This window comes from Homo sapiens, chromosome 10, assembly GCF_000001405.40.
Source record: "Homo sapiens chromosome 10, GRCh38.p14 Primary Assembly".
Taxonomy (NCBI): domain Eukaryota; kingdom Metazoa; phylum Chordata; class Mammalia; order Primates; family Hominidae; genus Homo; species Homo sapiens.
The window spans coordinates 76,277,174-76,305,094 of record NC_000010.11 but is presented as its reverse complement, the minus strand read 5'-3'; the positions used below and the strand labels follow the sequence as shown (position 1 = coordinate 76,305,094).

Genomic DNA, 27,921 nt, shown 5'->3' with positions numbered 1-27,921 from the left:
CACACAAAGAAGACCTGTAACCCAGATGGTTACAGAGCTCAAAGGACTCCACGAAGATTCACAAGGAAACTGGGGCCTCTCTGCTTAAAAACGTAGTGATTCACCTTGCTCTTGGGGTAAGCAAAGAGCACCATCCATTTCCTAGAAGGCCCTCTGCCCCAGCCCCTGCCTTCTCAGCCTCTCTTTTGCCTTCACTCCTCACCCTGAGAGTCATCACGTGGTGTTCTCCTGCTCCCGCAGGGCACTGTGCCCCATCCTGCTGGAGATCTTTGCAAAGCCTAGTCTTCCTTCCTAACTCCCTCCCAACATGCTTTGCCTGAGTTGTCCCCCTACTAGACACTTTGCTCCTTGAGGGCAGCGCCCTACTCCACCTGGGTGGCCCATAGTATCTTCTCGATAAATACTAAATGGTAAATTAAATGAACTTAAAATATTGAACAAATAGCATTCCCTGGCCTCCAAGGGTGGAGGATAACAATAAGTCCACATCTTCCCAGGCTAAGTCAGCCTCTGCACTGTCCTCTGATGGGAGCTCTCTACCCCATACCCCAACCCCTGCAAACAGGGCTTCTCAGTGTTGGACAGGTGGCATGCATAGTTCCTCCCTCCAAAATTCCCCATGTGGACACCCCTTTCTAGCAGAGCCCAGTTGATTTCTCGTATGTGAAAGGACTACAAGTTTAAGGTGCGCTTCTGCCAAATGGAGTCATCCAAAAGGTGTTTAGAACAAACAAAGGAAAACCTCCTTCCTGTACTTCAGACTGGGCTACAAATGGGAAACACAAAACCAAGCCTGTAGTTTCTAAGATGCATTCAGTGGCGTCTGTCTGGGATTTGGGATCTGGCAGGAGGGACCCCAGCCAGGAGTGATCTAAGGTAGCACCTGCTTGGCTCAGCTTTCTTTTTGTTATACCCATCTTTCTGTCTCCTTCAATGGATGGTTTTTGTTCCTTTCCTCTGATGAATGAGTAATTAAAAGTATAATCCAAATGAAGCCCCCAGGAGTGCAGGTACGCACACCATTAGTCACTGTTGTGCTCCTCCAGGGACCAAAGGGGAAGGCTAGAAAGGTTAGAGAAAGCCGTGAAAGGGCCTTCAGGGCTGTCATCAGGGGAGAAAACTGAGTTGTAGTGAGGCCTTCTTGTCACACAGCTCAGTCGGCAGAAGGGGGTGCTGTAGTGTAACCTATTTAGGATGCAAATAGAGTGTCTCCCGAGCTGCAGATGAAAGCGAGCGTGTTAGCCGCTGCCTGGCAGGTCCTCAGCAGTACTGAATGTCATATTCCTGCTTGTCACTGCTCACTGCAGGTCATTAATAGAACTCAGAATGGTGTTACTAAATGTGCACATTAAAAAACTGATCACCAAAAAAAAAAAAAAAGAGTGGCAATCCCATTCCCAGGGAATTCAACTCATCCAGCTCGGTGAAGATTTGTTTATTCAAGATCACTGGAGTTCAACAATTTTATTAGCTTAGATTGACAACTATCTATCACAGATGTACTACCCACTAAATGATAGTGGAAGAAGGGAGTTAAGGCCTCATGTGCGCGCCTGTGTGCAGTAAGAAAGAAGAGATCACTGAGAGCTAGAGGTTTCACAGATAGTGCCCAGCAAGTGAGCGCTGGACGGGCACCTCTCCCTTCTTCTTGGTTGGACTTCCACAGAAGTGGAACAAAAGACTCAGAACAAAACCTCCAGCTTCACAGAACCACGCCAGCTGGTACTTATGCTTTATTTTTTGACGCAGTCAGGTGTTCATTCTGCCAAGCAAGTTTTCATTCTTCCCTTTACTCCAGCCAATTCCTGTTTTCTTCAACTGGAGCTCCCCAAGACTCATCAAAAACACGATTTAATTACATCTCCAAAAAAAAAAAAAAAAAAGGGAGGAGTGTAAACATGACTCCTTTTTATCTCCTGATACATCTGGACAAGTAGACAATGTGCTAAAACAAAATAAATCTGCCCTGACAGTCACATCAAAGAGTTCAGCAAGGGGCTTGCAGCTACTTAAAGCACAGGAATGCTGTTGCTAAGCATCGGCCTACAACTTATCAGTCCCTGGAAGAAATGCTTTTTTCTTTCTTTCAGGGGGAGATGAGGAAAGTTAGAGTGGGAACCAGACTGCAAAAGGAGATTGGGGATTTTCAGGGATTTTGAAGCTTAAAATGAATTGTGTGAAGAAAAGGGGTTTTGTTGCGTTGTGTTTTCCTTTTAACAAACTGTCTATATTTTTATAAAGGTATTACATGGAAACCTTCTAGAAAGGGCTACTTAGGACTTGCAGAAATAAGTGGTCACACAAAACACTTCTATACAAATTTGTGCCATATCTCATTTTTGTGGATTTCTCTGTATGAGAAGAATCAAGTGTTAGTTCAGGGTCTGAGGAAATATCTCACAATCACCAAAGTCAACAGTGAAAAATCCTTAGGTTGCCATAATAAGAAATAAATCATCCAATATCACAAACCACAAACATTTTCTCTAAAAGGCAAGAAACAAGAGTATCCACTCCAGCAATCACAATACAAAAGAAAACAGAATCCCCACCACCACCCCCCAAAAAAAAGAAACCAAGCGTGAACTGCCATGTGCAATGAAATAAATCTAGCCAGATGACCCCAAATACATGGCACAGTCTCACAACTAAAGTGTTCACAGTAAACACAAAATGGAAGTGACCCTGAAACATGGCCAACACCTTCAGCCTTTTCTCCTTACCACCCCCCAGGGAAGATAGTGAAACACATGCTGTGGAAATTCAGTCTGATCTTCATCCCATATGCTGGTTCTCAAGATGGAGCAACAGGGAGATTTTTCTCTTCCCATGAACACATCCTCAGGTAGGTAGCTCTGCTCCACTTCCTCCCTCCAGCAAGGCTACTAAATTTAGTTGTGCTGGAAAATCTGAACTGAACATGAAATGGCATTGCTGAGAAGTATGTTCCATGAGCACCTGAGGGCGCTCTGGAAAAAAAAAATAGAGCCAGTTCAAAATAACGCACCAGTTCTCAATATGCATCAGACAACGCCACAGAGATTCTGTCCTCAAAACTGAGGGGCTAAAAATATGCAGATACTTTACTCCAGCCTAGGGAGGCCATGAACATTTTAAGCAAACAACTTGCTATTTCCTTTTCTTAGATCAAAGGAAACAAATTCTAAAACTACTGTGATCTCCACACAGGAAAATGCTCAACAACATGAACAATTACCAAGTCTGTGATATTGCACAAATAAATAACACTTCCCATTATCTCTAGCGCGATCGTATTTATTAAACAGTGACAGAGGGCATCAGTAACCATTTTTATTATCCCATATAGCTCCTATTTTCTAATTAAACAAAAGGTTATTTCTACTGTTAACAGCCATTTGTCTACTTGGGTCTTACATAATACTTTTTGCCAAGCATGACAGAATATAAGAAATTATGCTCTGTGGTGGGTTTTTTTGTTTTAAATTTTGCATGCTGAGTTGCTACTTAGAGAGATCCGTCAGTTCATAATCAAAGCAAGAGGCCATTGTGTGGTGAATTCATAAATATACTTTGGCAATTTTTCCTAAAACGTGATGAAGCAAGCACTTGGTCCTACCCTTTAGCCTCAATCCAAGGGCAATGATCTGTATTATTAAAGATATAGGTCAAGCCAGCTTGCGCTTCTTCGTCCTGTGGGATGTTTTAGAAGCTGCTGTCACATTACCAAGATCTGTTCTGTGGTTCCTAATTATTCCTCTTGGCAGCTTTGGATTCCAAGTGATTCCTCTCACATGTATGTAAAAATTTATAAGCTGTTTCATATAACAGCATGAGTTATTTCCTTGTTGTCTGTAATTGCTGAAGATACTGATTAGAAACATGCTCTAATTTCACTGACAAGGATAATGGTAACTTAATAAAATTTGCATTGTGTCTTCTGCAGACCTCAAAAATACTTTGTATCAACAATTGAAATGGTAATTTTTTAAATTTTTAATATAACTGAGGGCAGGGCTATTTCTCTCCTGAACATCTTAACCAGAAGGAAAAAAAACAAATAGCATGGATTTCCTCCTCATTGTCAAAATTTGATTGGTCCAAAAGCATATATTAAGTTGCCACTATGAGCAAAGAACTAAGGGAAGGAGCCTAATGGTTACTAAGCATGTACTATGTACTTGGCATGTTCCCATAAGCCCTCCTGTTTAACTCCCAAAAACAAGATGGTGGGGCAGATAGAACAATCCTACAATGGTATTCTTGGGGAAACCAAGTGCCTGGATTCCATCACAGAATTCCATTCTGATTCTATATTCCTAGGGCTTCCTGATGCAAGTGCTGTGCTCTTTGCACCATGTTGAGAGGAGTAAACTGTTGCAAATTAAGGTAACTTACACTGTTGTAGGAGGAAATGAGATAAGTCAATAACTACCATAGAAAAAGGGATTGGGGCAAATGCCCATAGAAGAGAGTCCAAACAAAACAGCCTAGCGTCTGAATGATGGAAGAGATTTCATCTGTTCCAGGAGAGAAAGACAGAGAACCTGTTACACTGTCTGATTTTCACATGTGAAGTATGTTGGAAAGGTATTAACTTCTCTATTAGACAGATGAGAACACAGAGACGGAAATAAAGGGCCTTCCCCAGGCATTGATGGCTTGCCCAGGATAGAACACAGCTTTCTTGCCTGCTTTCCTACCATGATCAATGGATAATATCTCGACTTTGTGAAATGCCTTCCCACTGAGGAATTTCCTGATAGCCTGAGTTTAAATTTTGTGCCAACAACCCAGAGTGTCCCCAAATGTAGCTGCACAACTTTTCTTGATTTCAAATAAAACAAAGTTCTACCTCCACAAGTGGCAATCCCACCTTTGATGACTACAGATCTCACAGTCTATTTTTAATGAGAAATATTTACAACTCTTTAAATACCACCAATCAAATATGTTCATAGGTACATGGTTAGTCATATATCAGTTTCTACTGAAAACACTCAATTGTTTGGTTTATTCTCAATTCTGCCACTATATATCTGCCCCTATACAAGGAAGAGATAAGAACAGATCTTTCATACCTATTATGCCATGACTACCCCTAGTTTTAGAACAGATTTAGAGTTTCTCTCATTTCTTTAGAGATTGGGTTGAAGTTAGGGGAGGTATGAGGAAGTATTATTTCCTTTACAAAGATGTAAAGCAGAAAGCTGAGCAAATTGTCCGATTTTATCTGAATCTTAATCCTACAAAGCTTGAGTCTCAGGCCTCCATTTCTTTGTACAATGAAGACGGACATCTTTCTAGAGGACAAAACTCATTCATTCCTACAACCAGCCAAAGGTTAGCTCTTACTGGTGTTGAAAATGAAGACAGCAGATTGCGAAGATTCCTCCAACCCTCTAATTAGCAAGTTTTGGCCCCCAGGCAGTAGTCCTGAGAGGAATGAGAAAGTTATTCTGCAGGAAACAACTGTCCTTGCAGGAATGAGTCCCATAAAAAAAAAAAAAAAGAAAGGAAGGGGGGTGGTTCAAAGGCATTCTAACTGACCATTCATTGTACAAGCAGAGCAGAGCAAGTATAAAAAGGGAAGGGAGCACGGATTCCACATCTGACCTCTTCCCAAAGTTTAGCTTCTGTATGAACTTCTGGGTCCAGGTAAAACCTTTTGAGAAGCAAAAGAAGGTATTTAAGGGCTATGATTAACTGGAAGACAGTGGTGTATCTAGATAAAGTAAAATGGCATAGTCTCACATCTAAAGGAATGAACATTTTATTAAACCTACTCTCCAGAGCCTCTGGAAGTCCAAGTCATTTTTAAAGGTTGTATCAGCCATGCAAACTGCAGGACTCCTGAGAAACCTCAATATCCCAGAACATATGGACACACACAATATACTTAAAACATATTGCGCGTGCGTGCATGCACACACACACACACACACACACACACACACACGGCTCTTCTCTAACAGCAGATGTTCCTGACGTATATGCAGGAGGAACATCTATCTGGTATGTTCTGTCTCATTGCCTTAGTTAAAAGTGAAAGCAACTAATTTCTAATTTAATAATTTCTTATTTTCTAAGGAAAATAAGTCAAAGAAAATATTTCTAATCAAGAAAATGGAAGAAGGTGGCCAACCAACAATACCCACTCCCCAAGTTTTTGGAGCTGTAAGGAAAATCAAGAATACTGAAGAGATACAGTCCCATCCCAGAAGGGTTTATATAGCTGAGTAACATGATGCCAGAAACAATTAGACCCACATGATGGAGAGAAGAGAGGATCCATTGGACCTTCCATCATACAGTCACAAAACAATTTGTTAAAACCTATAAGAAACTGAGTAGAATGGTATGCTTCATGGAAGAAAGAATTCTAGAAAGTAACTTTTTAAGGCACAGCCCATGTTGTTCCTTTAACTACATGCTTCCTTGATGAAATTCTATTCACTCTTCAAGGTTCAGCTTAAGCATCATCTCTTTGGCTACCCCAGGCCTCTTAGGGTTGCACGGCACGTCATGGGTGCCTATGTGAAAGTACTTGGTGGTGACTGAGTTCTTGACAGACTTTGAGAGTCTCTAAGTCAGAGTTCATTTCCTCTCCTACCTTTGTAATTTAGGCACTAGTACCAGGCCTGACACAGAAGGCCCTTTGCACAGGCTCAGTTAATGAGTAAGTAAAGGACAAGGAGAGAGGATGGCAGCCACTCCAGATTATTTCTGTCTTCCTGCCTTCCTCTCCAATGCTGCTTGGAAGCAGCTGACAATCTCTCACCACGTCCAGCTCAGCCAACTGGATTTCTCCAATATGCAGCTGGTACCAGCTCCTTCCCTATGCTGCTAACTGGTTGGGGGTGGGAGGCAGAGATGTTAGCATGATGTTTTACTCAGCAGGCATAGCATCAAGGCGCATTTTTAATGATTTACCAGTTCTACTTGACTGAGCCTGCACCCTGTAAGTGGATCATATGATCAGTGATCACAAGTTAAACTGCTTTTGTTGCTCGCAAGGCATGCATGGTGGGCTGGCTGCATGGCACCAGCAGCTCGCACGCAGCTGTGTGTAAGACAAGGAGAGGTTACGTACAACAGGCAGTTAATGGCTCATACCAGCAAGCCCTCGACTTCAGTCGGCACATGCGGCTGCATTTTAAAAAGGTAAATGACCTTGCAGCTGGAAGCTTTAACTATGTGCTTTTACCTATTTGTACCTGGATAAGTAAACATTTGCAGCACGCCAAAAGGCCCTGAAAGCTCTATTGTAGCCATAGGCTAATCCTTTTCTCTCTGGATGAAAGACTCCAAAACAAACCGGGGGAGGGGGAAATCATTTTCTGCCTCAAGTAGCACAAAGGTAAAGGGGGGCAATGGTGATAATGACTTCCATTTGTTATAACTTTCAGAAGTCACCAAGGTTTCAGTCCAAACCAGCTGCCCATATTTAGGATTCTACTTTCCAGGAAGAATGACAGAAACGACAGGCCCCCAGACACAGAATGATTCCAACCAGAGTCGAACAGAACGACCTCCTACTTAACAGTGACTCTGACACAAGGAAGCTGGAATGAACAACTCCAAGCTTGTTCTACTACCCCAAAGGGTTGCTTCTGCCAACTGCTGTCACTCAGGGCCAAAAAAGTAGGCCCATCTTAGTTCTCTTCTGCTTTAACTTCAAATCCACAGGGCAGTCAGTATTTGTGTTGCGGAATCTAGGCCTTTACTACAAATTCCCTGTATCCCACTCTAAGTTATCTGATAACCATTTAGCTCCTTCTGGTAAAAGCCCCTTCAGATACCTCTTACAAGAGTGGGGCTGCCCAAGCCATATCTGAAATAGTGGTTAGCCACCCTGAATGCTTTCCAAAGAGTGGAATATTTGCGATTTACAATGTGAGTGGGAACTTTGGTAATGCTGTTATTTTAAGAACTCATCAATCAATTGAGATTAAGATAACATTTATTGCAACATAAACTGGGATTGCCATGAGAACAGGCAGAAGGTATCTGCGGATCATTTAAGACATTTCACAGGCAGTGAATCAAGGGAGGGCCATTGTGTGAGTGATAGGAGCACTGGACTGAGAGCTCAGAGCTCCAGGCTCTTCCATGGCTCTGCCCATCAACAGCTGTGTGACTCTCAGCATCTCACGCCACTTCTTTGCACTTGAGATCACAATCCCCTCTGTGACAACTCTATCAACTTCCTGCTATGTGCTAGAAAGCACACTAGGCACTAAAATCAAGCATGTTGGGATCACTAGGTATCCATCAAATATGTTCATGCAAATGAATTAACAAACAAGAAAAACTATACTCTGATGCTAGTCACCATCTGTTGAACCAAAATAATCTTTAAATGACCAGAAATACTTTCTTCCCTGCAATTCTGTTACTATGGGTTGGTCTAATGAGGTTGGTTTATATCCATGAGAGAAAACAGCACTCCTTGGTCCAATATACTGTTTTAATAAACTTTATTAAATTTCCATTGATCCATATGCAAAAATAATTTGTTTACAATTTGAACTCAGCCTACTAAATGGTGTCTAACTCAATAAAGGAAGAGGCTGAGAAACAACAGCTGTATGGCTATTAACACATTATGCCGTTAAAAACATTAAATAGTTGGGTTTGGTGAAGGAGTCAAAGTTAACCCTTTGAGTAGCTCTAAACCAGAGATCATTTTACTTTGCAATGGGAAGCCAGGGACTTGGAAGAGAATTTTTCTCCACCTCGTGAATAAGCCTGCAGGAGTGGCAGCACATCTGCCTATGGCTCTGCAGCTTAGCCTTCCAGAAACCTATTCTAAACGTGCAACCTTGGCCTCATAACAGAGATGACAAGGGGTTATTAGGGTTTAGAAGAATGTCTAAATAATAAGCAAACTAGGCTTATTTGATAGTTAATATAATTCACATGATGCCCTATCCTTTAGATACTTAAATAAATTGGTTAGTTTTGACCTTGTGCTGATGAAGCCAAAGTCAGGGCACAATTCTTTTCAGCCAGTTGGTTCTGTGTGGTGATCATATTTGTAATCAAATCAGTAAATCAATAAAATGTATTCATGCAGTACTCAGTAAGGCAAAGTCCCTAATCCCAAATTACGTACTATGGAGATTGGGAGATAAAATTAAGAGACAGGAAAATGTGAAAACAATTAAGCACTATGCTAGATAATTCCAAAGATGTATCAGTCCCAAAGAAAGGGATGAGTGAAGATTAGCATGAGTGAAGATTAGCAAAGAGGTGACTTTAGGAAGGAAATGGAATTGAGCTGAGCCTTGGAAAAAATGGTAGGATTTCCATTGCAAGGAGAAAATGAAGGGTCAAGGGAGAATCTGAAAGTGGAACTGAAGAGGGCTAGAGGAGGTGGGGCAGAGATAGCTTAAGCAAGAGTTAGAGGGCAGTGAAAGGCAATAGGGATACTATAGTCCTTTTAGCACTTATTGGTTATAAGGGTTACCAGAGAGGAGAGCTAGAATCAGCCAGTGCATGTCCGTGACACTACCACAAAAGCAAAGCAGAGGGCACACCCAAAGAGGTGGCGGCAGCAGTGTCCATGAAAGCTCATTCAACTTTTAGAAACTCAAACTGTGCCTGGTATCCAGGTTTAGTGACCATGTGATATTTCTAACTGAGAATGCTATATAATAACCTGAATACAAACAAGGAAATGACTGAAAATGTATAGGCAAACTTTGAAATTCTCAGTATAACAATGAATTTGAATTCAAATGAGTCCTTGCATCCTGCAAGGTTGACCTGTCCAGCTTCCCACACAGACGTAGACATCTCTTCTACAATGCCTTACAAAAATGGTCTTCCAGCTCTGCTCTTAGCTCTTCCAGAACAATCAGCACCCACATCTTTGTAAGGAAGAATATCATTTTGTTTAATAAGATCCTTTAATAAAACTTTCTTCTTACATTGTGCCAAAACTTCCCTCCTTATACCATTAAACCATAGTCCTAGGTTTCTCCTTTACAAATGCTACATCCTCATCCCCACAATAATGTTTCAACTATTTGAGATAATGTTCTATGTACCATCTTAATCTCCTCTATTCTATGCCAAATATTTCCGTAACACTCAACAGCCTAGTGCCTCTCCTGAAGATCCCCATTAGTTTTTCTGGTTTTCCTAAAACATGAACCTCTGACCTGAACCTAGTCCTCTAGATGATGGGTGAACTGTATGAATCCCAAGAAGACAATGTGACCCAAAGCCTCCATCACATCCAAGTTGGCAATACCTTCCCAAGCTATAGTCTACGCTGGTATATATCAAACCTCAGTCAAATAAAATATCCCAATGCCTTTGATTTGAAACACTGCCAAGCCAGACCTTTCAAGCACATACTTCAATAATAGATTTTTGAAAATATAAAGCTAGGACTTCTAACTTACAATCCTATTAAATTTTGTCTGATAGGTGTCAGGCAGTGTTTTAGCTTGCTGGGACCACTTGGAACCATGATCTAAAACCTGTGGAATGTTCTGACCTCTCCAACTTTATACTTTGAAAGTTAATAAAAAAGGCCTTTTTCCAGCTCCTTACATGTTCTTGATAAAAATGTTTACTAGGTCAGGGACAAGGACAAATTCAAGTCTGAAGTTAAAATATATGGATAAGGCCTCAGACTTAGGAAAGGAAATAAGATGTGTTTTATACGTTCTTTGGGAAATATGAAGATAGACACCAAGAGATGACTTCACCAGTATAAAGGTAAATACTTAGATGAGCCATGTTGCTTTTCCCCTGAAGATCTACTTGTATTAGGTCTGGAGCAATCAGCAAAGCAAAGAGTTTCCAGTGTGAACTCTCTCAGCTTAATCAAGAAATTTAAAAAGAGAAACTAAGAACTATCCAAGTGAACCTATTGCTCTTGGAAGGATTAACACAAACACACACACACAAAATGAGTTCACTCTGGTCATAGGCCCAAAAACTTAATACCAAGTTTAGAACGTATTTTCCGCAAGAGATTGCTGGATGAATTTATGAGCAAACATCAGCACAGCCAATATCAGAACACCCAGCTTGTCAACTCCTCTCCTATCCAGTGGAGTGGGAAAGTGTATTTACTGTAGAAGTTCAAGAAAGCATTATTAAAAACAAGCACCAAAACAACCTCCAAGTGCACACTGTGGCTAAAGAATGGCTACTAAATCCAATAATGGAGAATATGAATGTGAACTGTTTAATTATGACTGAGTGACATGAAGCTAAATATTACAATGTTACAACAAACCAGAGAGTAAACAGATTTAAGGGTCTTGAGTTATTTCTCAGAGATAAATGGGAGGAATAGATGGTGGTTTGAGCCATTTTTCATAGCCCAGCTGGAATCCTATATATAAGAGATAAGGTAACATGAGAATTTTATAATGTTTACAGAAATCATAGATAACTCTGCCACATGTGGCCTTTGGCTCATTAATTTGACTAATTACAAAGACCCCTAACTCCTCATAGTTATCTCCCTAAGGCTTGAACTTAAAGAACCAAACCACATGTTTATGGGAACTCTTAGTCTTTTGTAAAAGCTAAACTATGGCTACCAACCTAGGCCAAATCACCTGTATGATGCCACTAGGAAGATACTTAGAAGCAAAAATCTGAAATGACATCAATGCAAACATGAGACATCATTTGTATCACTCTTCTTCACATTTTTCTAAATGTTTCAACAAAATTACCATTTTGGGTAGTCTAATCAACACATGAGCATCATAAGGCAAACATTACCCTCTCGTTTTACAGACATGGGGCTAAAGAGATAACATATTTGCCTAAAGATATACAATGATTAAGGCACACAGACTAGGCTGGGCATGGTGGGTCAGACCTGTAATTCCAGCACTTTGGGAGGCCGAGGTGGGCAGATCACTTGAGGCCAGGAGTTTAAAAACAGCTTGGCCAACATGGCAAAACAATGACTTTACTAAAAACACAAAAATTAGCCAGGTGTGGTGGCACATGCCTGTAGTCCCAGCTACTTGGGAAGCTGAGGCAAGAGAATTGCATGAACCTGGGAGGCGGGAGGTGGAGCTTGCAGTGAGCCGAGCCGAGATTGTGCTGCTGCATTACAGACTGGGTGACAGAGCAAGAATCCATCATAAATAAATAAATAATTAAATACACACACTGTTTCCCCATTTTGCAAATTTGCAAGCACAGCAGTCCTAGTTATTTGGTTTCTGACATTTCAGAGTGGCCTTTTGTTCACAGATGGAGCCACCCTGTTTAGCCATGTCTATGGCATCTTAATGCCCAATTGGGATAGTATGACACTTCTCTATATTAACTGTCCAATCTACAAGCCAATTGTCACACGGCTTTCTGGTGTCAGTCAAAGCAGGCCTGTGTAACATCAGCCCAATCTATCTAGAATGCAGGAGCGACACAAGCGTGTGCATAAAGAGTCATAAAGTAGTATCATGGGGACTTGTCACCAGAAACACCATTAGTTGATAAAAATGGAAGTAAAGCCTATCATTATTTCATCAGTGTAGTCAATCTTCATTGGAAACAAATATACAGAGATTTGCCATTATATTCCTGGCTACAACATGAGCAAAGATGCTGCACATCCAGCTACATTTCAAGCAAATTGCCCATTCAAGGCAACAATTTAGCCTAAAGAGACTCTGCTAGAAACCCTGTGAACTGGAAGCAACATGGTGGGGTAAAAAAGCAGACTAGGGTCCCAAGGATGTGGAGTCCAGGCTCTGCTCCGTCACCACCCAGCTCTGTGAGCTTGGTTGTGCAAGTGATCTGATGGCTCTAAGCCTTTATTTTCCCTTCTGCCAAACTGTGGATATACACCTCGAATTCCTTCAGTGGATTACTATGGAAATTAAGTGGGATGTTGCATTGGAAGGCTATATATTAATATATGTTGTACAGATAGGAGGAACTAAAATGCATCTTTATCTCAGTGATTGTTTAATGCAGGCCTCTGGGCAACCTTGTACTGACCTCTCTTGGCCTGCACCAGATAATTTAGTGCCACTATCATCATTAGTAAACATCCACCGGGGGCCTGCTATGGGCTTAATTATACATTGACTTGTATGGTTCACTGACATTTTCATGTGTATATGTCTGGTCTTCTTTAAGCAACTGTATGCTCATCCAGGGACAAGAATTTGTGTGTGTGTGTGTGTGTGTGCACGTGTGTGTGTGTGTGTGCACGTGTGGGTGTATATATAATCTGTATATACATATTAGCCCAGCAAAATGAAAATATACACTAAATTCTCAATAAAGAGGTAACTTGATTGTCTTAGAAACCAAAGATAGAAAACTAAAAAGTAGTGAAAACAATAGAGTTAGAAAATAAAACACTTAAGAAAAATCTAAGATCTTTTTTAAGGGATGGGCATAATAGCAGCATTTCCCTCTGTAATCTCACATAGAAGGATGTTTAAAGAAAAAAAAAATCCTACCAAGGGTCTTAATCAAGCTATTCCACTTAAGAGCATTAATGCTAAGTATGCAAACGTTCACCTGACTGATCATTAAGGTATCAAGAACTAATTTTCCTCCTTTTAAGAGCTTATATGTCACATCCCACCCCTTGGGCCTTCCAGAAATGCATTTAAATGCCTAACTAGGAGAAAGAAAAGCATTCCAGACAGCCAGGTGTTAGTGATTCAGCCATTAAAACTTCAGTTATAAAATATCCCCCACAATTGTAAAACATTTCAGTCATTAGAAGATCATAAATAGATTGAGATGACATTTTAAATTATTATGACATCATGTGTATGAAATGTACATTGTTCATCACAATATCCCAGATGATTGTGACTCTGATTATCTGAAGTTAAAGATGAAGTGTCTGTGTTATTTATTTTGAGACCCAACAGTGAAAGACAGGGAGGAGGGAGGGTGAAGACAGCAGACAGACAAGTAGAAATTGTGAATGTTGCATCCCTCCTAAGACAGAGAAAAACTTCAGATTCATTTTGCAGTAACACTCATTGACCGCTCCTTGAGCAAAAATAAATCCTTGTTTCCTTTTTGGAGGATCAGGCTGAAGTACCAAAGAAAAGTGCTCCCAAAACCCGTCATTTTGAAACCATCATCTAAAGTGTCATGGTACTCGCTCTTCTTTGAGCTATTATATATAAATTGAAAGATTTTAATTAGAGGTCAACATTAATTTACATCTGAAACTAGCAAAGTAGTTCATGACTCTTTTTCACATCACACATACCCATACTACTTCTCAGAGTCAACTGGTCTCTCATCTCTTCATTATATACTAAATAAGCAAGGTATGTCTCCACCTTGAAGGTATAGCACCTCCTTATAAGAAGTAAGACAGGTTTCTCTAGAAATGTCCACCTAACCACCACCATTGGAATAGAGGACAGAGTCTGAGGGCAGTGGCTCAGGCCTGTAATCCCAGCACTTTGGAAGGCTGAGGCTGGTGGATCACCTAAGGTTAAGAGTTCGAGACCAGCCTGGCCAACATGGTGAAATCCTGTCTCTACTAAAAATATAAAATTAGCCAGCTGTGGTGGCATACGCCTGTAATCCCAGCTACTGGGGAGGCTGAGGCACAAGAATCCCCTGAACCCAGGAGGCAGAGGTTACAATGAGCTGAAATCGCACCACTGCACGCCAGCCAGCCTGGGCAACAGAGTGAGACTCTGTCTCAAAAAAAAAAAAAAAAAAAAAAAAAGAGAAAATAAACCTAAATTGTACAGTTACTTATAAGATTGTCATAAGAAATCACTAATATAAATAATTCAGTCTTGCTGCAGACCCATGCTTTTCAACTCAGTCTTAACAAGGAAATAAATTCCTTTCAGAATTGAGCATTTTGGGAAATATGTTTAAGGGCTAATGTACCTTACATAACTCTTTAAACCAGCTGACTCACCTGAAGGATAAGGCCCATTAAAGAGATTGTAACAATAAAGTTTGGGAGTATTTAGGATACCCTAAAAGTCTGTTTTATTCTGCTACATACACTGGTAACTCATTCTGCCAAAGTAGGCAGGGATAGGTATGCATGAATATGGACCTAGGCACACAGTTAATAGTGGTTACAATTTAATCTTGTCCTAAAAATTTTGAAGAATTTGTTGGGACTAGAAATGCAGAAGCCTTGCAGGCATTGGAGAACCTGATGTAAATGCTCCCCCTCAAAATTCTTCTCTCAGAATCAACAGTGAAACTTCCTCTGTTTTCCTCTAGATGATCGTGGTTCTTCGGAATAATCCTGCCCAAAAAGTGTCCAAACCTAAAGACATGAAGTCAATAACCTGGCACCATCAGATGCTCGAAAAGGATTGGTTTGAAAGAGGGTAATTAAAGGGCAATTCATCAGGACAATTACTGATCCATTTTGCCTGGTCAGTTATGAGGCACATTTGAGAAACAGCCACCAGGTTTTTGCTACATGTATGGAATTGGAAGACACCAAGCCCAATGCCTCACCGTACACATAAATGTATTCCTGAAAATGCCAGACTATAGTTAACCAGGATCTATCCAAATATCGCCTGTAATAGGGAGATTAGACAATGCGTTTTATTAGATAACTCTTCCTAATATTGAACTCCTTATAAACTACTTCCTGTAATACTGCATAGGGTAATGGAAATGCTCCATGTCTGTGGAGCACTTTAAGTGTTCTCTGCATTACAAACACTAAGGAGGAGATGTTGAAAAAAATAACATTGGAAATAGTCATAAAAGAAGGCGACCTCACATTCTCAGAGGCCAATTCTGCCACTCTGATGATTTGGCAGGTACAACTTAGGGTGTCAAAAAGAGACTGTCTATTTTTCTGTCTGTACATATTAAAAACTTGGGAATGGGAAACAATTCAGTAAAGTCCAAGTCCACTTTTTGTTTCTTTTCTCCGAATTTCCCCCTCATTGAGGAAGGCTCTGGAAATATCTGCTTCAGCACCACACAGGCCAAGTTTGTCCTTCCTAGAGAAAGATACCATCAATGTTCTCTAATCTTATGCAAATCCAACATCCCACCTCCACCTTCCACTGTAATATGTCCTTGCCCTTGGTTTGGGCAAACCATTAATAAATTATTCATTCATTAAATTATTGAATAAACCCTTGTGGAATGAACATATTAAATATCTTTTATGTTTGTTTGTTTCCATAACTACTACTTTATTGGAGGAAACTGTTCTTGTAACATAATCTTTATCATCATGGGCAGAGAGCAAGGCTTCATTTGATTTGCAAGGGGCTGGCCCTCCATCATGTTTTCTGATTGACTGATTGGCTCTGGCTTTGTACATCCCAAGCAATTTTCCAAGAATCTCTTCCTTTCTCCTACGGAAACCACAGTTTCTCCTTATATTGTAGTAACTAACATTGAGGGGTTTGGGGTTGGAGGTGCAAATCTGGTCATAGCATTTAAAAAGAATTGTAGTAGTACTGAAGAATTCTACTGTTAAATAAAATTTATGGGAAGCCATGCTTTTAGACTGAGCTCCTGCACTAGGCCCCAACAGAACAGACCAAACCAAAATGGAGTCACTCTGATGATAGTTTCTTTTGCTGTGAAGAAGCTCTTTAGTTTAATTATATCCCATTTGTCAATTTTTGCTTTTGTTTCAATTGCTTTTGGCGTCTTCACCATGAAATCTTTGCCCATGCCTGTGGCTGCATAGTATTCCATAGTGGGTATGTGCCACATTTTCTTTATCCAGTCTACTGTTGATGGGCATTTAGGTTCCATTCCATATCTTTGCTATTATGAAATGTGCTGAGATGAACACACACGTGCATGTGTCTTTTATAGTAGAATGATTTATATTCCTTTAGGTATATACCCAATAATGGGATTGTTGGGTCAAATGGTAATTCTGTTTTAAGTTTTTTCAGAAATTGCCGAACTGCTTTCAACAATGGCTGAACTAATTTACAAGCAGTGTATAAGCATTCCCTTTCCTCCACAACCTCATCAGCATCTGTTATTTTTCAAAAACTGACTTTTTTCCATTTCCAACAAAGCACTTCTATTTTTAGATTAAGATGCTGCCTAGTTCATGAATCACTAATAAAAGGCCATTATATTGTTAACCTAAATATGTTGAAATTTTGGTTTTTGACAGTACTCAAATAAATGAACTGGAAATTAAACGAAGAAGCTGAGCTCTTTGAAACCAGTCCTGACTCAGTGCTTGTTTTCTGGGTCTTTGTCATTTCTCTAATGCAAAATGAATCCCAAACCACGTAGTGCAGCACAACAAAGATATTCAAATGGAATTAAGGTTCTTATTAGATCTGAAGGGCCTGGTGTGGCTGTGGTTCCTCCAGAGGAGACTTGTTTGTTTGCTGGTCTTTTTACAGAGTTTATGGAACAGAATTTTATTTTTAGCAAGAACTTTTTTTCCTCTTGGAAATGAATTAATGATGGTGTTGCCAGAGAGTGTTTATGAATACAATGTTAAAAAGTGGACCAAACAAAACACACCTTATTTCCACTCACTAAGAATGCATTGCCTTTCCTAACAGGAGCAGGCTGGCATAAATATTATTTTATTATAATAAATACTTTTGTTATTATGTTAAATATCTACCACTACAGAAGATACCAAAGAATTGCAGGATCTCTGTCCTCAAATTGCTTAGAGTCAAGTTAGATTAAGAAAAATAAACCAATAATGAATAGTATAAGACACTGTGTTATACAGTAGGAGCATTTTTGGTCCCAATTAGGTTCTGAAGGAATTCAGAACAGGATCTTTGTGGAATCTAGAGTGGCTGGGCAGGAATTCCTATAAGGATGAAATCTGGTCTGGCCCTTGACAAATGGGATGTTTAGATAGAAACAAAACTAAGATTACATGAATAAAGATAGTCCACAGCCACCTGTATGCTGAGAGTGGGGCAGGCAGATGGCAAATAAAGAAGAAGCCACAACCAGATTCACCACCAAAATGTAGAGATAAGTGAAACAGGAGGTTTCAGATAAAAGAAATCCCTTAGGGATAAGAGGGGACATTTAGTATATGTTATATCTTCTAGTTTCAGAAGATCTCTATCCAATAAATTCAAAAGCATGAGTTCCAGCATAAATAATTATATCATTGTCTCTGCCATTAATAATAGAGGACATAATAATAAAGTTTGAGGTACATAAAATAATAGTAAAGAGAGTGCTAGACATTTGAGAAGAGGATGCCAGCCTGCTTTTACCACTATAGATCCCCCATGTCAAGATGCGCAGAGCTGCTATGACATTATGGGCTGGCAAAGCTAGGATTTGGAGAAACAAATTTGGAAAAACATTAAAACTCTGGACAAATCAGCAAATCTGAATAAACAAATCCTTTAAGTTATTTCTACTCCCAAAAGAATGGATGACTCAATTCATTGTGCTTGATCCAACATCTGCCTTGACAAACTTTAGGGAGAAATTGCCCCAAATATCTTAGACACCTAAAGTGTTTGGCAGAATCTTTGAAGCTTTCCTAGGCCATGGTGGGTTGATTTTTGCTATTGAAGTGAGCTACTCTGCACAAAGGGGTGGGAGTCTGAGAGCCTGAAGCCCATCAGCTGGTCTCATCCTTAACTGCTGCTCACCCCATCCCCTCTCTGGTCACTCAGCAGAGCTGCTAAGATACAGTGACAAAATATTCGTACCTCTTGAAATGCAGTTTGAAAACCACTGTTCTTTCACAACCCTCTCACTTTAAAAATGTGGAACAATGAAGGCCCCAAGACTAGAAAAGCCCGGGGTCACCGGGTTGGTTAATGGACAGGCAGGGGTTAGAATCCAGGTCATCTGATTTCCAGCCCAATGTGCTTTCTCCACTCCTTACAGCCCTTTAATGCATCGGTGACAAACTGCCCATTTTAAAATATGGTAAAGTAGGGCATCTAATGAAGAATCTCCAGCGGGAAGATCTTCATTGTCTTTTTCACCTTCCATACTGTGTCAAATATTGATATTTATAAAATAATGGAAGAACTGGCATCAGAAAATGTATGCTACAGCGACTCTTTGAATGAGGGCCAGAAAGAGAATAAAAAGCCCAGAGTGACCTGCTGTACACCCACACTGCTTCCCCAATTAACTCCAAACAGACTTTGTCTGGGATGAAATGATTTAGCCTCAACGCAAGGTCAGTCCCACATATCCAGAATAAAGATTGCCGAATATGCTTATTTGAGCTGAATTACATTTGGTAGTTTAATAATATGAATTTACTGCCTTTTCAAGAGGGACTCTAGCACTGGGGAGAACTTTAAAATGCATCACACTTAAAACATAAAATTAAATTCAATTAACTTTTATTGGGAGGCTAATACACTAGTACTCTAGAGGGAGAAACGAAGCTCTCAGCTTTCCCAGGATTTTCAAACCAGGTCTCTAGAATCCAGGCCAAAGATACTGGCCTGTCTCCATCCCTCATAAAGAGCTTCATTGGCAACTTTAACATCTGTACTCAGTGGAGTGGACTATGCCTATAAGTCTCCAGCTAAAAGACCCTCAGGGGCATAAAACCTGGAATAATACATAGGTAGAAAACACTCCCTACCTACCTATCACATAAAAGACAAAAAGCCAATGCGGGCATGAAAACATGTGAGGGTCTCAGAGACAATATGCTTTTTATTAAACCCTCCTACCTTCCTGCTATCAGGATAAAGGGTTACATCTATTTTTTTTTTTTTAATATTTAGCACAATTAGCCACTCACATTGACTTATTAGAGATTCTTCAGCCAGCCTCGGCTTTCCTAAGGCCTTACTGCCCCCTCCCTCCACTGAGATATCCAAGTTTGCAGACAACTGTAAGTAGAGTGCCTGACTACTCCCTTTGTGACTTCATAAAGAGCAAGCTATGACATTTGCTGGTTGAGTTGTGGAAAAAACTGAATTCCAGACAGATTGGCCAACTATATCCTGGAAATAGGATGAAGTAATCTCCTTGACTCATTTAACAAATATTTAATGAGTGCCTACTGCATACCATATACCATACTAGGCATCAGAGATTCATGAGTGAATGAAACAGACATGATCACTTCCCTTATGGCTACAAAAGAGGGGAGAATGGGGAAACATGGAAATCAAAAAGCATCCCTGTATTATCTATTCTCATACTGCTAACAAAGACATACTTGAGACTGGGTAATTTATAAAGAAAAAGAGGTTTGATGGACTCACATTTCCACATGGATGGGGAGGCCTCACAATCATGGTGGAAGGTGAAGGAGGAGCAAAGGCATGTCTTACATGGTGGCAGGCAAGAAAGCATGTGCAGGGGAACTGCCCTTTATAAAACCAGCAGATCTCATGAGAGTTATTCACTATCATGAGAACAATATGGGAAAAATCCACCCTCAAGATTCAATTACCTCCCGCTGGGTCCCTACCACAACACCTGGGGATTATGGGAGCCACAATTCAAGATGAGATTTGGGTGGGACACAGTCAAACCATATCAGTCCCTATCTTAAACAAATAATACAAAAAAAACCCAAGATTTCAAAATCAGGGTTAAACTCTCTGTCAAGCTGGTTGGAATTTGCAAGACAGAATCAGTTTCCCAGTGCTGCTGTAACAAGTTCACATGAACTTAGCAGCTTCAAACAACACAAGTTCATTGTCTTAGAGTTCTGGAGGTCAGATGTCTGAAAAAGGCCCTATAGAGGCAAAATTGAGGTGAGGGGAGAACACGTTTCCTTGCCTTTCCCAGCTCCTAGTGGCTGCCTGTGTTCCCTGTCTTGCACCCCTGGCTCCATTTTCAAAAGCACATTGCTCCAATCTCTGCTTGCTTCATCACATCTCCTTCTCCCCTGACTCTGACTTCCCTGAGTCCTCTTCGGAACCGTTGTGCTTACCTCAGGCCCACCTGGATAATGCAGAATAACCTCCACAATTTATGATTTTTTAATCACACCTGCAAAGTCCCTTTTGCCATATAAGGTAATCCCAGTTTCTAAGAATTAGGACATGGACATATTCGGATGATTGTTATTCAGCCTATCACAAAGACCAAAAATAACATCCCAAACTTTAGGTACTTTCGTGGAAAAAGAAATGACCTGAGCTCTTGAAGATGTGACCAGGATGCAGAACAGTGGAATTGCCTCCCTAATTACATTCATATTCTCTGTCTAACAGCAGTAAAACAAGAAAGGTGTGGTGGTGGTGCATGCCTGTAGTCCCAACTGTTTGGGAGGCTGAGGCTGGCAGATCACTTGAACCAAGGAGTTCAAGATCAGCCTGGGCAATAGAGTGAGACCTCCTCTCCATTTAAAAAGAAAAAGAAAAGCAGTGAAACACAGTGGCAAAGAACACAGGCTGTGGGGTGAAATACACCAGGGTATTGGTTGAACCAGCTCAACCAAACACCTGGATGAACATGATCAAATTACTTAACCTCTCTGAACCTCAATTTCCTGTTCCCCAAATGGAGATCACAATAATACTCCCTTTCTGGGGTTGTTATGAGGATTAATGAGATAATACCTATATAGCACTCTTTGTTGTATATAGTAAGCATTCAATCGATGTTATTATTATGTTATTATTATAATTATTCAATCACTGGCCACCCAGCCTGGACTTGAACTCACACCTGAGTATTTTAGAGGCCTCCTTCAGTACAGATCACTGAAATTTCCAGAACTTCCTCTTCCCCTTACTTGAAATCCGATCTGTCCCTCAAGCACTTGTCTCATTCATGCTCCTTCATGCTTCCCCAGTGGGAAGAACTCTATCTCCCTTTCCTTCTGACCTCCAACAACAGGTGCACCACTCGTGTAAGGCTATCACTGATCTTGCTGCTTCCAATCTTATTTTTATGTTTTAGCACCATATGTAGATTACAAACTGCCTGAGGGCAAATACTGCTGTACTAGTACTCAGTGAAGACATGTGGCCACAGTAGATAATCAATAAACTGGTTAAATAAACTCATTGCAGAGTTTATTCCTCCCAGATCTGTGGGGAAACACAATTTCACATTTCCCATTAAAGGGGAGCTAACTGTACACCCTAAGATATGCTGCAACCTTGAAGTTGAGGTTCTAAAGTGAATTTAGTCCTCATCTCCCTTTTCCATTATGTGCTCCACAGTTCCCTATATCCCAGGATGATGAAGACCCCTCTTTCTCCCTCTGTATACCAAGAAGTTTAAGTATCAGCAACACACCAAGGGAAAATAGCAAACAGACTTCTGTTTGGACATGAAATTGAACAAAGAGCTCACACCAGTCAGAGCCAGTTTGAACCAGTCTGCACGGCTCTGAAATCTGCCGGACCTCCCTCTGAAGCTGGCACAAAGACACGAAGAACATCATTGACTTCAATCTTTGGCCTTCTAACCAGGAAAGGACTTGTGAAGGTGAATGGTTTGCAGACGAAGGGGATATAAAAGAGACAAAACCAGGATAAAAATTAAATAAAAAGTAGCTGTCTTAAACTGTAATTGCAGTCCTCTGCTGAGCACGCTTGCAGATATATAAATGTGATTTACCATCAGCTTGCAACTACAAATCAGGTCTTGAGAAACACTTGTGCTATGAAATTGTTTAATCTCATCAAGCTCTGCTTTCACAGCAAGCCATAAATCACAAAGTCTTTGTTATCATAGACCTCCACCAGCGCCTCTCTGGCAGGCTATGGATCGTGGGTATATATAATCTTGACTGCACAAACACTGGGGTCGACGCAGGCTGAAATACTTTCATAATAGCCACTGTGCAGCTGGTGGAACACAAGCCTATGATGGATATCTCATTTCCTACAGTCGGCATCTATTTCGAGCAAATTATTACCACATAAATTTCTTGTCAACAGAAACGGCCAATTAATTAAGTTAAAAATTTACTTGTGATCACATCTACAAACCAAATAGAACTGCAAGGCAATTTTCCAGTTACTGAATATACTGCAGGTCAGTTTAATGAATAATTTTTAACTTTGTCATAAACTCAAAGACAGGCTAATATCTCCAGAAACCTGAATGGAGACCAGCTGCCGACAGATTTACACAAAATATATTTATGTGGAATTTGATTGCTGACATCTGGGGACAGAAATAAACTTTCTATAATTACAGAGGCATCTTTGCCATATATATGCATTTCTTTCACCAAAAAATGCAAATCTGTCCCCAGAAAGGGTGTATTTACATTTTCAGGCAGGGCTACAATGGGGCTGGATGGTTCTTGGAAAAATCATTGCATTAAATTCCTGTGCTAGTGATGGGTTCATTATCATGCAGGAAGACAATAACAGGCCAAGACCTGTTTATCACTGCCCCCCACCTTCCTACACACAAAAAATCAGGATGCTTTCTCTCTTTGAGGTTGCAAGCCACTTGGCACATGTCCAATAGTGGAGGCAGCATTGGGAGGATTTAGGGGTCTGTCAGGTAAGGCAGATTGACACAGCTTCCCCTTAGGGTTATTATGCATATAAAATAGATCTACATGGAAATAAGGCCGGCAGAGGGCCCTTTTCATAATTCCTGCTTTAACCATGTCTCTTTGAACTGAAGAAAATTCATGGATGATGGGGGGGTTGGGGGAATGGTAGTTGTCCAGGTGAGTATAAAGGATGTGGATTTGGGGAACACATCAGATCTGACTGCTAACAGTGATTTACTCAATGAGCCACCTATTGGATATAGAATTAGGGTTTTCAATAGGGCCGTTATGTACCCCAGAAGTAGAGGGCACTCAAGGTCCTCCAAATTATAGTCCCAGTCTATCTTTAACAATTTCACTGTTCCCTATTCTCAACCTGTCACTGCCAAATGACCAAGCTAGACTACTTAATGTTCCTACCACGTGCCTTGGCTTTTGTACTTCTGTAACTTTGCTCCAACAAAGGACCTTTGAGGTCTGTTCCCATATACTTCCACTTTCCAGATTTTTATCTCCAAGATGACCTCCTTGGCTTTTCCTCAGCCTAGAAAAGACCTTTGCTCTTCAGCAAGACACTTCCTTCTACACAAAAATTGAGAGCCTGTCATTCTACCACGAGCAGAATGAGCAGTTTGAGTTCACAGCCACTGAAGTGTTCAAGAAGATGCCAGACAACCATTTGGTGGGCTGTTGTAACGGGGACTCAATGTGTGTGGAGAGTTGGACTAAATAACTGCTAAAGCTTTTCATCCCTGGGATTATAATTTTTTAATCCTTAGCCTGTATATCAATAAGGCCACAAGCAATTCTACAATGGTTGCTTGTGCCCTTGTTGGTAAACTTCCTGAAGGCAGGGATCATTTTACTCATATTTACAGTTTTCTCAGCACACAGTCCAGTACCTTTTTTTTTAAGGCACATTCCCTAGAAAAGTTATTGAGGGCTGATTTTACGGAGGTTTTCTCATATTTGCAGCACTCAACTTCAGGTGGCATTTGATACACTACTGTACCATGATAATCAATATGAACAGTGCTGATGTGTGCTTATGATGTTTAGGGCACCTTGCTAGAATTCTGAGAATTCCAGGAGGCAAATACATTCTCTCCCAGACTAATTTTAATTAAGGAAAAAAGTCACACAGTGAGCTCAAAGCATACCCCAAACAAACAGGGGCTGAATAAATGAATGATCAATGTGCAAAATACAAAATAAGATAGAATATAAATGTTAAATCAAGGGTATCAATAATTTTCAGTATCAGGGTAGACAATGCAAAAACGTTTGTGTTTTAGAATCTGAAGGGTGCAAAAAAGTGATTCCATATAATTCTTCACTCTGCTACTGTGGATACAAAATCCCCTACCCCAAGCTGAACCAGCTTGCTCAAGGTCACTAAAATGGAAGATGGCAAAAAGAGAATCATACCTAGCTGTGCTCAATACCTGCCCTTCATTCTTTCCATCACATCCACCAAACCCAACAAGGTTACTCCTATAAAGTCTAAGGATTAAATTGCTTTTCAGTTTTTCCTGGTTAATTTCATGTTCCTTGAATCAAAGTATAAATACCTCTTCTCTGGCTCAGGCCTTGGCTCTACGTGTCCCTGGATTATTTCTGATGACAAAATACATTTCAAAATTTTCTCCTTGACAATGATCTTAAATGTGAAGACATTGCCTAAACATCTAATTTCACCAGTCATCTACTCTGGATCCTTTCTGCCACACACACTCACTCACAAATAGGCATTAAATGCAGAGGTTGATTGGATTCAAATCTTAGCTCAACCCTTTATGAGTTATGGGAATTTAGGCTGGTTACTTCACTTCTCAGTGCCTCAGTCTCCTTGTCTATAAAATGGGACTACCTCATAGTGTCATGAGTATTACATTAGACAACACATGTAACATTTTAAAACAATGCCTATAAGAAGCATTTATTCTGAGATCAGGAGTTCAAGACCAGACTGGCCAACATGGTGAAACCCTGTCTCTACTAAAAATACAAAAAATTAGCTGGGTATGGTGGTGGGCACCTGTAATCCCAGCTACTCAGGAGGCTGAGGCAGGAGAATCGCTTGAACCCGGGAGGCAGCGGTTGCAGTGAGCCAAGATCGTGCCATTGCACTCCAGCCTGGGCAACAAGAGCGAAACTCCATCTCAAAAAAAAAAAAAAAAAAAAAAAGAAGCATTTGTTATTAGTTTTTAATCCTTAGCCCGTCTATACCACTTTTGGCATAGTAAATCTCATATTCTTATCCCATGCTGTGTAAACTTTATTTCTTTTCATTTGTCCTGTACTTGCCTTGTGAAGCTTCAAGGAAGAATTCATAAAAGAATAATGATGATGATGATGATAACAGATAACATTTTTGCCTGTATTATGTTCCAGGCACTGCTATAAACACTTTACATTCGTTATCAACAGCCTTAGGAGGCAAATATTCTTATTATCTCCAAATCACAGATGTGACCTAGAAAGGTTAAGTAACTTGTCCAAGGTCATACAGCTATAATTGGTCAAACTCTAAGTTCATGCTCTTAATCACTGCAATTTAGTGTTACTGTATTTGGTCAGCAATTCCTTATCATTTTATTTCTCTCATTTATAATATTATAGGTATTGCTCATGTCCTCCATCATACTCCATTTTTCCAGAACAGTCTGAGTCAGTCATTATTCCTATCCCCAAGGACCTTGCAGTTCAGACAAGGAAACAAAATAAATGTGGATATGAAAAGCATATCCACATAAGAAAAACAAACTTGTTCTAACCCATCCAACTCCATCATGCTTGTTTATTTCATTCTTCCTTGAAGCTTCTCTCTACCCAGCAACAATAGTTTTTGAGAGTGTATCTAATCATAGCACCAAATCACTATTTAAAGATGTTGGGCAAAGTAAAAGAATCTTTCAATAAAGTTCAATTAGCTTGTGAGTTCAAATATGAAACACACACTACTGTATTTCAGGAGGAAGGGAGAGGCCAGAGGAGGTTCCATAGCAGAGCTTTTGTGAAATTAGAGTCAGGATTTCTATAAAAGAAAATGTTTTATTACAGAGACAATGAACAAGAAACATGGGGAATTACCTATATGCTGTCTGAGTGCTACTAACAAAGGCAGGTAATAGTGTGGGTGAGACACCGCTGACTGTCAGGTTATCTTGTTGAGGGTCACTGCTGCCAGAGTGTCAAGGTCGGGATAAGACAGTATAACAAAGCAGAAGCGAGGAACGCCTGCCTCCCTGGCTGATCCACTGACGATTAGCAGCATAGGGGACATGAGTGATGATAATATCACAGTTTTACATGCGTTGAGCACTTTATAGTTTATAAAGCACTTTCACAGTCATTATCTCATTATATTTTTAAAGAATTTCTTACGGAAGATTCAGTAATGACCAAACCTGCCGAGGAACACTTCACTTTTCAGGGATACATTTTCCTGATTTGAGAAAAGCTATCTACTTTGAGTTGGGTAAACACATGAGCACAGATTTAGAAACTGGAATTCAATGAAGGAGCCAGAAGACTCTAGGGTTAACTGGAGGTATAGTACAGCTCATCCCAGACAGTGCCAGAAATTATACAGGGAATCTGCAAAATCCGAAAAATTCTCATTAATGCATCCAAATCTAGAAAGAAGCAAACTTTATCTAGGCATTCTTCTCTTCTCCTTCTTCTGACTGAGTAATGGATTAAGTAACCACTGGGAAAAGCAAATGAAACACAGAAAACTAACAACTGGGTACACCCTCTAATGGGCATGAAAATTCCATGATGACCCAGTGAATTAGAGAAATCATCCAAAGCCCAAAAGTAAACCCTAATGAAGGTTTAACAGAATGTCAGATGAGAGAATTAAGTCTGGCTATTCCAATAAAGATCACATCCCTTCTCAGTTGAACTATTCTCCTCCCTACCCCATTTTCTGAAGCTACAGAACATGGACAAAACATGAAATACTTACTTCTCAAACTGCAACTTTGAGGGTAAAAGAAGCTCATATTATGAGAGGTGGGAAGATAATTAAGAAGCCATTCACACTGTATATTTCAGAGTTACTCAAACATGATCAGAGAGAAAACAAACAGCACAGCAAAAAATTCAGACTAACAACAAAACCAGGAAAAGGAGGACAGAAGCACATCATGCAAAAGACACAAAAAGGACCCAACAACTAAAGGAACAGCAGAAAAAAAAATCCAAATAGCTTTATGCTATAAAACAACTTAGTAAGAACAAGACTTTAATAAAAGAGGGGCTCAGCTGAATGCAGTTTAATTGAATGTGAGCCTGCCTCTTGCATGAGAGGGTAAGCCCACTACCTCCTATCTCTTCCACTGATTACAACTAAACACTGCACAAAATACAAGGATACTGAGGATGGGGAAAAGTAAAACAAAAGCCAGTGGCTTATGGAGAAGCTACCCACCAAGAGGTGAATTTCTGGGTTTATTGTTCTTTTTTAATGTGGCTTTTCCCCAAATGCAGGCCCCAATCACAGAGTCGTCTGATACAGCAGTACCATGGAAATCTCAAACTCCACT

At 40.2% G+C, this 27,921-nt stretch overlaps 1 protein-coding gene and 1 long non-coding RNA gene across 4 annotated transcripts in view, besides 1 other annotated feature; one reads left to right on the top strand and one right to left on the bottom strand.

Moving 5' to 3' along the window:
* Positions 1–27,921, bottom strand: part of LRMDA (leucine rich melanocyte differentiation associated) — a 1,128,545-nt gene that overhangs the window by 255,074 nt on the left and 845,550 nt on the right. The window lies entirely within an intron of this gene.
* On the top strand, positions 79–27,851 carry LOC124902462 (uncharacterized). The gene is made up of 3 exons (XR_007062203.1): positions 79–116; positions 2,734–2,845; positions 15,202–27,851. It is a non-coding gene; the product is annotated as an uncharacterized LOC124902462 (long non-coding RNA).
* Positions 1,070–1,364: a silencer, noted in NCBI's record as "tiled region #11048; K562 Repressive DNase unmatched - State 12:CtcfO". NCBI's record gives its function as "represses a minimal TATA promoter and a strong SV40 promoter by Sharpr-MPRA in K562 cells {active_cell/tissue: K562}" and the evidence as "EXISTENCE:reporter gene assay evidence [ECO:0000049][PMID:27701403]".